The sequence below is a fragment of the Homo sapiens genome, chromosome 3 (assembly GCF_000001405.40).
Source record: "Homo sapiens chromosome 3, GRCh38.p14 Primary Assembly".
In the NCBI taxonomy this organism is placed as follows: Eukaryota; Metazoa; Chordata; class Mammalia; order Primates; family Hominidae; genus Homo; species Homo sapiens.
In genome coordinates this window covers 113,345,750-113,359,136 of record NC_000003.12, presented here as the reverse complement: position 1 = coordinate 113,359,136, position 13,387 = coordinate 113,345,750, and the positions used below count along the sequence as shown (strand labels likewise).

Sequence of the window (13,387 nt, the reverse complement as noted above, 5' to 3'; positions counted from 1 at the left end):
ATTGATAGCATTCATTATTTTTATTGTGGGAAAAAATCTTAAACTGTGTAGCTTTATTTGTATTATTGTTAATTGCGAAGAACATTTCTCCTTATATTGTGGAAGTAAAGTTAAAATAAGCTGTTTTTCTTTTGTAATGGACAGAGTTTATGATATTTGGGGAAGAGTTATGATGCAGCATGAAACTGGGGACAAAACTGAAATATATGAAACAGAGTTGATACAGTACCCATTTTGATGAACAGATCTTCTTATCTGCAGGATTTTGATGTAGATTCCCAAATCCGTGCTGAGATGCACAGAAAAACAGCTTTCAAAATTCAACAAGTGGAAAAGGAATTAGCTTGGGAAAAAGAGAAACATGAACTCGGCCTAATGAAGCTAAAGAATCGGTAGGATCCATATTCTCTACAAGCTAAGATGTTTGAGAGCACATGTGTGAATAACATAGTTTATAGTAGTGTCAGTGAAGTGGCCAGTTAAGAGGGCTCTGGAAGTACCCACTGACTTGAAATCTCAAGGAATCCTCTTGTCACTGCTACTGATATTTTCCTGAGCTTTCTGTGCACTCCTTTCTAGTTTAAGTGTGGGAAATTTGTTTAACACTTACATTTTAAAAATTATATAATACATATTTACTTTGTTTTGATGAATTATTTATTTTATATCAAATTAATTAATGAACATGTATGTATTAAGAAATAAAAAATCAAATGGAACCAAAGGACTTTAAACAAAAGACAACCAGAGGTGGCTCTGGTTTTATCCCTCTCATGCACCAATTTGACTTCCAGGGGAATGTTTTTTTTTGCCATTTACTGAGATATAATTTACATAAAATACGTAAATCTTAACATCTTGAAAATTTTTTACAGATGTATAAATATATCTACTACTCAGATTAAGATAGAGAACATTTATAGCACTCCACAAAGTTTCCCCATGTCCCCCTCACTTCAGGAAATACTCTTCAAAGTTGAATCTTTATTGCCATGTATTAGTTTTGTTTGTGAATTCCATATAAATAGAGTGTTACAGTATGGATTCTTTTGCATCTGGCCTTTTTTTAAAACTCATATGATGTCTAAGATTATCAGTGTTGTTACATGTATCAGTAGTTCATTCTTTTCCATTGCTTTTTAATCTTTCTTTAAAATGATTATACCACAGTTTATCCCTTCTACTGTTAATAGATATTTGAGTTGTTTCTATTTTTGGCTACCATAAATAATGCTACTATGAACATTGTGTACGTTTTTTGATGGATATAAGTGCTTATTTCTGTTGGTTATATACTCAGTTGTGGAACTGCTGGGCCATAGGTTATATGCATGTTTAGTTTTGTTAGATCCTGTCAGTTTTTCAAAACGGTTTGAAAATTTACACTCTTCAGTTTACACACTTACCATCAATGTATGAGAATCCCAATTGATCCCCACTGTGTTAGTGTCTTAGGGCTACTGTAAAAAAGTACTACAAACTGATTGGCTTAAAACTGGTTATTTACTGTCTCGCAGTTCTGGAGGCTAGAAGTCCAAAATCAAAGTGTCAGGCAAGTTGGTTCTTTCTGAGGACTTGGTGGGGAGAATCTGTTCCATACCTGTCTCCAAGCTTCTAGTGGTTTGCCAGCAACCTTTGGTTTTCTTGGCTGATGAATCCATCTCTCCAAATCCTCTGCTTTCACTCAGTGTTCTCCCTGTGTCTCTTCATATAGGTTTCCCTGTGTATGTCCATCTCTGTGTCCAAATTTTCCCTTTTTATAAGAACACCAGTCATGTTTCATTAAGGCCTGCTGTCATTATCTCATTTCAACTTGATTACCTCTATCAAGACCCTATTTTCAAATAAGGTCACACTCTGAGGTGCTGGGGGTTAGGGCCTCAACATAGCTTTTTGGGGGGACACAAATCCATAATACTCATGCTTGGGATTGTCAGCCCTTTAAATTCCAGCTATTCTGTAGTAGCATCTCAGTATGGTTTAAATTGGCATCTCCCTGATGAGTGATTTTCAGTCCCTTTTCATATATGTACCAATCATTTGTATATTTTCTGTTGTTAGGTGTTTGTTCCAGTCTTTTGTCCATTTTTAAAACTGGGTTGCAGGAATTATGTATATCTTCTGGATATGAGCTTTGGTTATTTATATACATGAGTTATTTTTGGTTATTTATATATATGAGTGACTACGTATATGACATGTATGTATGTGTATATGTGTGTGTATGTGTGTGTGTGTTTACACATATAAAATACCTTGCTGTAGTATGTGGCTTTAGTCTCTTAATAGAGTTGTTTGTTGAATAGAAGTTTTTTCTTTTACTGAAGTTCAACTTATTAGTCTTTTTTTAAAGATTAATGCTTTTGTGTTATACTTAAAGAACTTTTGCCTACTCCCAATTCATAAAATAATTCTGTTTTCTTCTAGAAGCTCTATTGTTTTTACATCTTGAATAATTTTTATGGGTGGTGTGAGATCATGTCATTTGTTTTTATATTGATATCCGATTGACCTAGTATTTTTTGTTGAAAAGACCATCTGTTCCTTACTAGATTGTAGTGATGCTTTTGTCATAAGTCAGGTAACTGTACATGTGTGGGTCTGTTTCTGAACTCTTTATTCTATCTCATTGGCCTATCTGTCTATCCAGGTGCCAGTATCATTCTGTCTTAATTAAATCTTGACATCTAATATTGTAAATCCTCCAGCTTTGTTCTTCATCTCCAAGATTGGTTAGGTTCTTTGCATAGAATCAACTTGTCAATTTTTACAAAAAGCCTGCTAAAATTTGTATTGGAATTACATGGAATCTATAGAAATAATAGTCATTAAGAAATAAATTCCTATTTAGGAATAATAGACATTTAAATAATAATTAAATAATAAATATTATCTTACATAAACATGATATATCTTAAAAAGAAGCAGTTTTAATATTTTTACAGTGGTTACAACCATATATCTAAATAATATATTTATATGTATTTATTATTAGTCATTTTTATTGACTTCCTAGTGTGGTAGCTAAGGATTTTCCTCACTTTAATGTACGCTTTCCTCTACCTTCTTGAAAATGTAGAATATATTATAATAATTATATACATTTTATATATAATATGTAATTCCACATAATTATATATAAATGAAGAATACATTATAATAATTGCTTTAATGTCCTTGTCTGCTAGTTATATTATCTGCATCATTTCTGTGCATGTTTCTATTGACTGATATATTTCTCTTCATTTTGGATTACATTTTTATGCTTTTTGCCTATCTGCCTGGTAAATTTTGATTGTAAATTTTACATTGTAGGTGCTAGATATTTCTGTATATACTTAAATTTTTTTTGTAACTTTTTTTTTTTAATACTTTAAATTCTAGGGTACAGGTGCACAACCTGCAGGTTTGGTACATAGGTATACATGTGCCATGTTGGTTTGCTGCACCCATCAACTCATCATTTACATTAGGTATTTCTCCTAATGTGAGTGAGAACATGTGGTGTTTGGTTTTCTGTCCTTGTGATAGTTTGCTGAGAATGATGGTTTCCAGCTTCATCCATGTTCCTGCAAAGGACATGAACTCATCCTTTTTTATGGCTGCATAGTATTCCATGGATGGAGTCTCACTCTGTCGCCCAGGCTGGAGTGTAGTGGCGTGATCACGGCTCACTGCAACCTCTGCCTCTTGGGTTCAAGCAATTCTCTGCCTCAGCCTCCTGAATAGCTGGGATTGCAGGCACCTGCCACCATGCCCGGCGAATTTTTTTGTATTTTTAGTAGAGACAGGGTTTCACCATCTTGGCCAGGTTGATATTGAACTCTTGACCTCGTGATCCACCCGCCTAGGCCTCCCAAAGTGCTGGGATTACAAGCGTGAGCCACCACGCCTGGCTTAAATTTTTTTTTTCAATTTCAATAGGTTTTTGGGGGAACAGGTAGTGTTTGGTTACATGAAAAGTTCTTTAGTGGTGATTTCTGAGATTTTGGTGCACCCATCACCTGAGCAGTGTACTCTGTACCCAATGTGTAGTCTTTAATCCTTCACCATCCCCCACCCTTTCCCCTGGGTCCCAGCAGAGCTACCGGGCTCCAGGTTGGTACTGGGGAATGTCTGCAAAGAGTCTTGTGATGTGATCCGTCTTCAGGTCTTGAAGCCATGGATACCAGAACCTGCTCCAGTGGAGGTAGCAGGGGAGTGAAGTGGACTCTGTGAGGGTCCTTGGTTGTGTTTTTGTTTAGTGTGCTCGTTTTGTGTTGGTTGGCCTCCAGCCAGGAGGTGGTGCTTTCAAGAGCCCATCAGCTGTGGTCCTGTAGGGAGGATGCAAACTTGCCCTAGAGACACCTAGTTAAGTATTCAGGTTTCTCAGGCAGTGGGCAGGGCCGTATAGAGCTCCCAAGATATTATGACCTTTGTCTTCAGCTACCAGGGTAGGTAGAGAAAGACCACCAGGTGGGGGCAGGGATAGGTGTGTCTGAGCTCACCCTCTCCTTGGGCGGGACTTGCTGTGGCTGCTGTGGGGGATGGAGGTGTGGATCCCAGTCCAATAGAGTTATATTCCCAGGGGGATTATGGCTGCCTCTGCTGAGTCATACAGGGAAGTTGGGGAAAGCTGGTAGTCATAGGCCTGACCTTGCTCCCATGCAACCCACAGTCCTAAAGGCTGGTCTCACTCCTACCATACCCTCCCAACAGCACTAAGTCTATTTCCAGGCAGCTGCTGAGCAGGGCTGAGAACTGCCCCAGACCAGGAGCCTCCCCATTGAGAAAGCAGGCAGATTCAGTTTTTTGGCATCTCAGGGAACCTGCATGGGTGATCCAGTTCCTTCAAAGGGTCTGTGGATTCTCTCAGCTTTCCTGGGTATGTTCCTGTGATAGTTCTTGGAGCAAAAGTTCATGATGTGAGTCTCCACATGATGCTCTGTCCCCATCCGCAAGCTAATCCTGCCTCCTATCTGCCATCTTAATCTCTGTATACTTTTAACTATTCTTGAGCTTTGTTCTGGAATTCATTTAAGTTACATGGAAAAAGATTTTTTTTTTTTTTTTGAGGCTTGCCTTTAATCTTTGTTAGGTGAGATCAGAGCAGCCTTTAGTCTAGGGCTAATTTTTTTCCAGCTACTAAGACAACACTCTTCTGAGCAGAATATCCTATGTCCCATGTATTATCAGGTTTATGGGAACACAAGCTATTTCAACTGTGTGAGATCTGTGGATTATTCTGTCTGTTCCTTTCAGGTGTTTCTTTTCCCAGCCTCAGATAGACTCCTTCTTATGCAGTGCTGATTAGTGCTTAACTGCAGAGTGGAAGGGAGCCCTCTGCAGATCTTCAGAGCTCTCTCTCTCTGACTCTGGTTCTCTCTCTCTGACTCTGGTTCTCTCTCTCCCTCTGTCTCTATCGTGCAGCTGTCTCCTCTCTGGTACTTCACTCTGAAAGTTATAGCACTTCTTACCAGGTATTAAATCCCTGAATAGTTGAATTCCTAGATAATATTTCAGTATTTGAATCCCTGAATTATAACCAGATTGCTACCTGCTAAAAGATGAAAGTGGTGAAGAAGTTCCTCTCAGGAAGAACTCTCAACATAGCAGCCTATGTTTGGCTTTAATAAGTATTCACAGTATATATAAGTTTTGTGTGTGTGTGTGTGTGTGTGTGTGTGTGTGTGTGTGTGTGTGTATTCATACATATATATGAATCCTAACTCGCAAACTTAGGTATGTAAGTACATGGCTGTTCTTTATTTTATTTAAACTAACTTAAATCTGACTTTGACTCTGGGCTTCTATTCTATCAAGAAGATAGGAAAGTCAGTCTTAGTACAGCTGAAGCTCATTGTCTCATTTTCCCAGAATGCCTGATTCTTTTAGTCCTTTCATTCTGTGGTTTTTGTGCTCTGCTGGAGCAGGCAACGTTTTGTGAGACCAGGAGCCACCTGTGCCATAGATCAAACACACATACAGACATCACTCTTAAGGCCTTACCATCTCCCCAGATACTTCCAGATGCAGGGATCAAGTGCCCACAGCTCTGGGACCCACTTGCCCATCCTCCTTTGAGTCAGGGTTCACCTCTGCCTCCCTACCGTCCTTGTTATTAAATCCTCTTTTCCTTAACTCCTGCTTTCCGTCCCTGATCTGGGGACCCTCCATCCACCATAGCATCATGTTTTCAGGGAACATATGGAAGGAGATAACAAGAACCTAGCTAGCTATCTGACTGGAATGTGGGGAGAGGATAAAGTTGTACCAAATAACACTGGGTATTACCAATGTTTTCATCTTTACCAATCTAATAGGCAAAATATAATAACTCTTGGTTGAATAATCTGCATCCTTTTTATTATTGGTGGGGTTCAGCATTTCCTTTCATATGCCTGTGGTTCATTTACATGTATTCTTCTGAGAATTCTCTGTTTAGATTTCTTGTTCATTTTTCTTTGGGTTCTGTTTATTTCCCACATTATTTTTAATTTTAGCCTCTTTATCTATATTACAGATATTTGCCTTTTATTCTACATATTGTAAATGGTTTCTCCTGCTCTGCCATTTGCCTTAAACTTTGTTCATATTTTTCTAACTGTGCAGAATTTTTAATTTTTATGTGATCAAAACCAGCTATATTTTCCTTCATGTTGTGTTTGGAGTTGGTTCCTTCCAGTGGGTTCTTGGTCTTGCTGACTTCAAGAATGAAGCCGCAGACTTTTGCAGCAAGTGTTTACAGCTCTTAAAGGTGGTGCAGACCCAAAGAGTGAGCAGCAGCAAGATTTATTGTGAAGAGCGAAAGAACAAAGCTTCCACAGCATGGAAGGGGACCTGAGCAGGTTGCTGCTGCTGGCTGGGGTGGCCAGCTTTTATTCCCTTATTTGTCCCTGCCCACATGCTGCTGATTGGTCCATTTTACAGAGCGCTGATTGGTCCATTTTACAGAGTGCTGATTGTGCATTTACAATCTTTTAGCTAGACACAGAGCGCTGATTGGTGCATTTACAATCCTCTAGCTAGACAGAAAAGTTCTCCAAGTCCCCACTTGACCCAGGAAGTCCAGCTGGCTTCACCTCTCAATCCCCCCTCTAAACAGGACACCCCAACTGCTGTTGGGAATTGGGCAATGACTGCTCCAGCTACTTCCTGCTGGGTAGGGGTGAAGAAGGGGCCCTGTAGTTGTAGTGTCCTCCAGAGGGTAACTCTCTAGGTCAGCCGAAGGGCCAGTGGGTCAATCCAGGAGTCCTTGGTAGAAGTTGGTAGTTGAACTCATTAGGTTCTATTTGTAAGACCATCTGTAGCTTGATGGCATCGATTCTGGAGGAAACAAATTTGACAGGGAGGTTAAAAACACAGGGCCCGAAGGTGAGTAATAGCAAGATGGCTGTCACGGGACCAGAAAGGGGAGAAGCCATGTCGCCCAACTCCAGAGGTTGGTATGAGAGTTTGAAAGGCGTTGTCTGATTTCAGAAGCCTTTTCCTGTAAATGCCGGTTGGCATCTCGTACTATCCCTGACTGGTTAGTGTAAAAACAACACTCTTCCCCTAAGAAGGTTCAGAGTCCTCCTTTCTCAGCAGTGAGGAGATCTAGGTCTTGGCGGTTTTGGAGAGTCACTGCTGCCAAAGAGTCTATTTGGGATTGTAGAGTAAGGATAGATTTCATTATTTCTTGCAAACTGAGAAATCCTTTGAGAGTGTGTGGTAGTAGGATAATGAAGTAGATAAACTGGCTATTCCAGTTCCTGTAGCAGTAGCCATTCCTAACCCTATAATTAGGGGTATTAGTTGTATGGCTCTGTGCTGATGGACTTAAGCTTTGAGGGGTACTGATAGGGTCTGATTTCCTCAAGATTAGAGTTAGAATAATACATGTTACACTGTTAACTTTTAGCAAACTTTACTTTTGTTGAAAACCTTGTAAGTTTGGGATTTCAGTTATTCTTTGCTATTAATAAGATCTCGTTCAGTCCATATTAACTTAGAATTTGTATAGATGGCTCCTTCCTGATTCTGTAAGTACTTTAATGTTTGGCTGAGTGCAGACAGCTCACACATTTGAGCGGACCCATTATTAGGCAATTTTCCTAACCCTGCCTCTACAAGAGTTTCCTTATAACTTACTGAATACCCATTGAGTCTTTTTCCCTCAATCGCCCAGGAGGAACCATCTATTGTCCTGTCCTGAAGGGAGTTCCTCCTAGGTCTGGTCAGACCCCTGTATGGCAACCAATCAAGACCTAGATCCCCTGTTAGTAAATCTGCTGGGTCAAATCATCTTTTTCCAACAGAACCAGCCCCACACTTCAAGATTTGAGCCAGTAAGCTACCCCTTTGCCTTTCCTCTTTTTTTGACTTAGGATATTTCTGACCTGGTGAGGTGTGCTCACAATGAGGTTACCTCTAAAAGTTATTTTCCCACTTTCTTCTGCTAGCAAAGCAGCCACCGCCACAGATTGAATGCACCTGGGCCATCTGTGGGCCACTGGGCCAAGGATCTCTGATAGGAAGGCTACGGGTTGTCAGTGGCCTCAGTGCTTTCGGGCTACACCCTTGTTTACACTGACAACAAGGTGGTATTGGAGTGTTATAAGGTCATGGAGAAGACTGTCAATTATCAATTATAGGTTTTAAATTTACCCTGGCTTTTAAAGGAATAGGGTACACTCTTTTCTTTACTACTTCCATCTCTCTTTCTTTCTCTTCGGCTTCTTTGTCTCTTTCTCTCTTTCTGACTCCCTCTTTGTCTGTCTCTTCCTCTCTCTCTTTGACTTTCTGTCTCTCTCTCTCTCTCTGACTCTCTCTTTGTCTCTCTGTCTCTTTCTCTCTCTCTGACTTTCTGTCTCTTTCTTTCTTCCTCTCTGACTCCTTCTTTGTCTGTCTCTTCCTCTCTTTCCTTCTCTTTCTTTTTGACTTCCTGTCTTTCTCTTTCTCTCTGTCTTTGTCTCTCTGTCTCTTCCTCTCTCTCTCTCTCTTTCCTCTCTGCTGGTCTTTCTCTGCCTCTGCCAGCCGCTTATGCTGCTGTTCTCCCCTCTCCTTCCCCTTTTCATGGCTTCGGCAGTGTAAGACTGCCACCTCGTTGGGTTTTTGCACTGTGTGCAATAACTCCATGGTTTCCTTGTGATATTTAATGGGGGTGCCTCCAGAGGTTAGGAACTCCCTTTCTTTCCATATTGCAGAATGGGCATGTAGGATTAGATAAGCATACTTACTATCTGTAACAAAGTCTCCCAATTACAACTGAGGAGGTGGGAGAAATACCTGGCTACAGGCTGTCCCAGGATTCCTCGGATGGTAACAGACCTTGAGGATAGCTGTCTGGGACAGGAGATTAACACTGAGAAAGCTGCACCAGTGTCCAGGAGGAAGTCAATTTCCTGGTCCTCAATGGTTAAACATACCTGGGGCTCAGTGAGGGTGATGACATGAGCTGGCACTTGCCCCGGGAGCCCTCAGTACTGTTGTTGGATCATCTGTTTAGGGGCTTCTGGCCCAGAGAACCTTTGTCCTCTGCGGCAGTGCACCTTCCAGTAATTGCCTCGGGATAGTGGACATGGGCAAGGGAGCAGCTTGTTTCTCATTGGACAATCTTTTTTAAAGTGTCCTTGCAAACCACACAGATAACAAGCCCTACCAGGTGATTGGCCTGCTCCATTTTCTGTCCTCTCTAACCACCGAGGTTTGTCTGAGGGCCATGACTAAGCCTGCGGCCTTTCTCTGATCTCGCTTTTCCTTTTCGGCATGTTCCTCTTGGTACCTATTATAGAACACTGAGGTTGCCAGGTTTAATAATGCCTCCAGATTTTGTTCAGGGCCCAGGGCTAGCTTTTGGAGCTTTCTCCTGATACCTGTGGCTGACTGGGAATAAACTTATCTTTTAGGATAAATTGACCCTCGAGGGAGTCGGCTGACAGGGGAGTATATTTTCTTAAGGCCTCCCATAGCAGCTTGAGGAAGGCAGAAGGATTTTCTTCCTTTCCCTGAGTTATGGTGGACATCATTGAATAATTCATGGGCTTTTTCTTAATTGTCCTTAGTCCTTCTAGAACACAGGTCAACAGATATTTGCAACTCCAGTCCCCATGATCTGAGTCGAGGTCCCAGTGGTGATCCATACTGGTGACGGCTTGCTGACTGGTAGGGAATTTGTCCCTTTCTTCGGCTGTCATTCTATCATTTACTTGACTAAGATACCAGGTATCTCCAACTCTCAGGTTGTAGCTAAAGCTGCATTCTTTTCATTAAAGGCCAGGGTTTGATCTAACAATAGCATGACATCTCTCCAAGTGAGGTCAAAGGTTTGTCCTAGACCCTGTAGGACATCTGTGTACCTATCGGGATCATCTGAAAACTTCCCCAGGTCTGCCTTGATCTGCTTTAAATCAGAGAGGAAGAAGGGGACATGTACCCGGGTTGGGCCAAATTCCCCTCCCCCTACAGCTTGAAGGGGACATAACCAATAGCCTGGGAGTTTTTGTGGTCCCTTGGAGATTTCTTTGCTTATTTCCTTCTGGGCAGGGGAGATTAGAGGAGGCTTATCATTAATAGGAAGGGGGGCTATAGGGAGGCTAGGATATGGAGGTAAGCTGAGAGATCCTCCTGTGGGATGTAAATTGCAAGCTTTGCATAGCTGTGTATTCTCCTTCAATGAAAAGAAAGCTTGGAGATAAGGTATTTCACTCTATTTGCCTTCCCTCTTACAGAAAAGGTCAAGCTGCAGGATAGTATTGTAATTTATACTTCCCTCAGGTGGCCATTTTTCCCCATCAGAGAGAGAATATTGGGGCCAGGCTGTAGTGCAGAAAAAAATGAGCCACCTCTTTTTCAGGGTTTGTGGGTCAAATTGGTCCCAGTTGCTTAGGATGCATTTCAAGGGTGAGCCTGTTGATGCCTGAGTGTTTCCCATGTGAAAGGAAAAACCGCCCGCGGTTTTGATTTGTTTACTTCCCCCCGACCCAAGAACCTGCAATGGTCCCTGGACCCTGCTGATCAGAATAGTTGCACTCACCAATGCAGCAGCAGAAACCCCTCTTGCCCAAGAACCTGCAATGGTCCCTGGACCCTGCTGATTGGAATAGTTGTGCTCACCAATGCAGCAGCAAAAACACTAGTTTTCCTCTTAGACCACAAGGAGGACAGAGGAAGGTTGGATTTAGTGGCCCTTACCAATGCATTCTTGAAAACCTGCACTCTTGCCTGTCCTCTTAGACCACAATGAGGACCGAGAAAAATCGGATTTAGTGGCCCTTACTGATGCATACTCAAAAACCTGTTAGAGTCCTAGGCATTCTCCTGTTAGTATCGGGACTTTACCCCTGTCCTATAAAGATGTTATGCCCCCAAAATGAAGTAGAGGACCATACCCTGAGGGAGGGAAGGGATCTCTGGGGTTGGAAGAGTGACGCCTTTTGTCCTCACTTGAATAGGAAGGATATCATTTCTGAAGCTCCCCACATCCTAGCTTCAGGAATAGCTTTTGTTAGGCCCGCTTGTCTGAGGAAGGATCCTAAAAGGATAGTTGGTCTCCCCACCCAATGGGGCTTTGGGCAAAAATTATATCTTTCTGATTGGTGAGCCCAGGTGCCTAAAGAAGGGAACAGAGTCCTGAAGTTTATACTAGAAATCATTATAGGAGAAACTAGAAAAGCACCAGAGACGGGGTAGTTTTTAGAAGCGGGATTAGCCTCAGAGAAGAGAGGCAGGAGGAAGTTTGTCTGACAGGCATTAAGACCCAGGAGGCAAGTGTCAGGATAGATAGGATAGACAGGTGAGCCTTGCTTGGGCGACGTGACTTTGAGAGTTCCACTCATGGCTACAGGGTCAACCAACTTTTTGTCAGAACCCCAGAACTGAATGATTTTCCTCTCTCTTGACCGTTGGCTCAGCCCAAAAGCGGAAGCTGTTTCCAGGCAAACCAACGCTCCCAACTCCAGAGTCGGGGGTTGTTAGAGAGCCCTTTCCCAGAAAGCCTGACACCCATGTCTTTAGTCCGGCGGCCACGCTAGTCACTTTTAACTGGCTGACAGGTGTCCAGTATTTAGCCCCCGAATTCTAAGGAAAAATAGGGCAGAAGAGCAAGCTAAAGGGGTCTGATGGTACTCACTGCATGGCGATGTCCCATCTGGGTCGCCAAGATGTGTCCAGAGTTGGTTCCTTCCAGTGGGTTCTTGGTCTCGCTGACTTCAAGAATGAAGCCACGGGCCTTCGCGGTGAGTGTTATAGCTCATAAAGGTGGTGTGGACCCAAAGAGTGAGCAGCAGCAAGATTTATTGTGAAGAGCAAAAAAACAAAGCTTCCACAGCATGGAAGGGGACCCGAGTGGTTTGCCGCTGCTGGCTGGGGTGGCCAGCTTTTATTCCCTTATTTGTCCCTGCCCATTTCCTGCTGATTGGTCCATTTTACAGAGTGCTGATTGGTCCATTTTACAGAGTGCGGATTGGTGCCTTTACAATCCTTTAGCTAGACACAGAGTGCTGATTGGTGCACTTACAATCCTTTAGCTAGACACAGAGCGCTGATTGGTGTGTTTTTACAGAGTGTTGATTGGTGCATTTACAATCCTGTAGCTAGACCCAGAGTGCTGATTGGTGCGTTTTTACAGAGTGCTGATTGGTGCACTTAAAATCCTTTAGCTAGATACAGAGCACTGATTGGTGCATTTTTACAGAGTGCTGATTGGTGTGCTTACAATCCTTTAGCTAGACACAGAGTGCTGATTGGTGCTTTTTTACAGAGTGCTGATTGGGGCACTTACAATCCTTTAGCTAGGCACGGAGCGCTGATTGGTGCGTTTTTACAGAGTGCTGATTGGTGCACTTACAGTCCTTTAGCTAGACACAGAGCGCTGATTGGTGCATTTTTACAGAGTGCTGATTAGTGCATTTACAATCCTTTAGCTAGACACAGAGTGCTGATTGGTGTGTTTTTACAAAGTGCTGATTGGTGAACTTACAATCCTTTAGCTAGACACAGAGCGCTGATTGGTGCGTTTTTACAGAGTGTTGATTGGTGCATTTACAATCCTTTAGCTAGACACGGAGCACTGATTGGTGTGTTTACAATCCTCTAGCTAGACAGAAAAGTTCTCCAAGTCCCCACTCAACCCAGGAAGTCCAGCTGGGTTCACTTCTCAATGTTAATCTGGGTCTCATGGAAAGGCTAAAATTTAAAAGTTCCAGTGGGCAAATACATAAAGGAAATAAGTCTTAAAGAGATGAGAAAGATAGTATGTATGAAAGAAAAGGGAAAATTAAAAAGAAATAGTAAATCATTTTAAAAGCAGACATAGAGTTTAAAAGATTAAGTTAGAAAAATAGTAAGAAAGGCAAACAAGCTAGGAATAATCAATCTATACAAAAATAAATTAAATTCTAAGAAGTGCTTGTTTGTGTGTGTGTGATAA

General features: G+C 41.9%; 1 protein-coding gene and 1 long non-coding RNA gene across 7 annotated transcripts in view; both read left to right on the top strand.

The window, feature by feature from the left end:
- Positions 1-13,387, top strand: part of SPICE1-CFAP44 (SPICE1-CFAP44 readthrough (NMD candidate)) — a 228,227-nt gene that overhangs the window by 156,020 nt on the left and 58,820 nt on the right. For 5 of the 6 annotated variants that reach the window (NR_183046.1, NR_183045.1, NR_183049.1 and 2 more), the window contains one exon: positions 262-392. This is a non-coding gene — a long non-coding RNA (SPICE1-CFAP44 readthrough (NMD candidate)). The remainder of the gene's footprint in view (positions 1-261; positions 393-13,387) is intronic. The other variant, NR_183050.1, reaches the window with a different exon arrangement.
- The window catches only part of CFAP44 (cilia and flagella associated protein 44), a 154,585-nt gene that overhangs the window by 82,378 nt on the left and 58,820 nt on the right, over positions 1-13,387 (top strand). Inside the window, exon 22 of the mRNA NM_001164496.2 lies at positions 262-392. Coding sequence (NP_001157968.1) covers positions 262-392 — 131 coding nt within the window. The remainder of the gene's footprint in view (positions 1-261; positions 393-13,387) is intronic.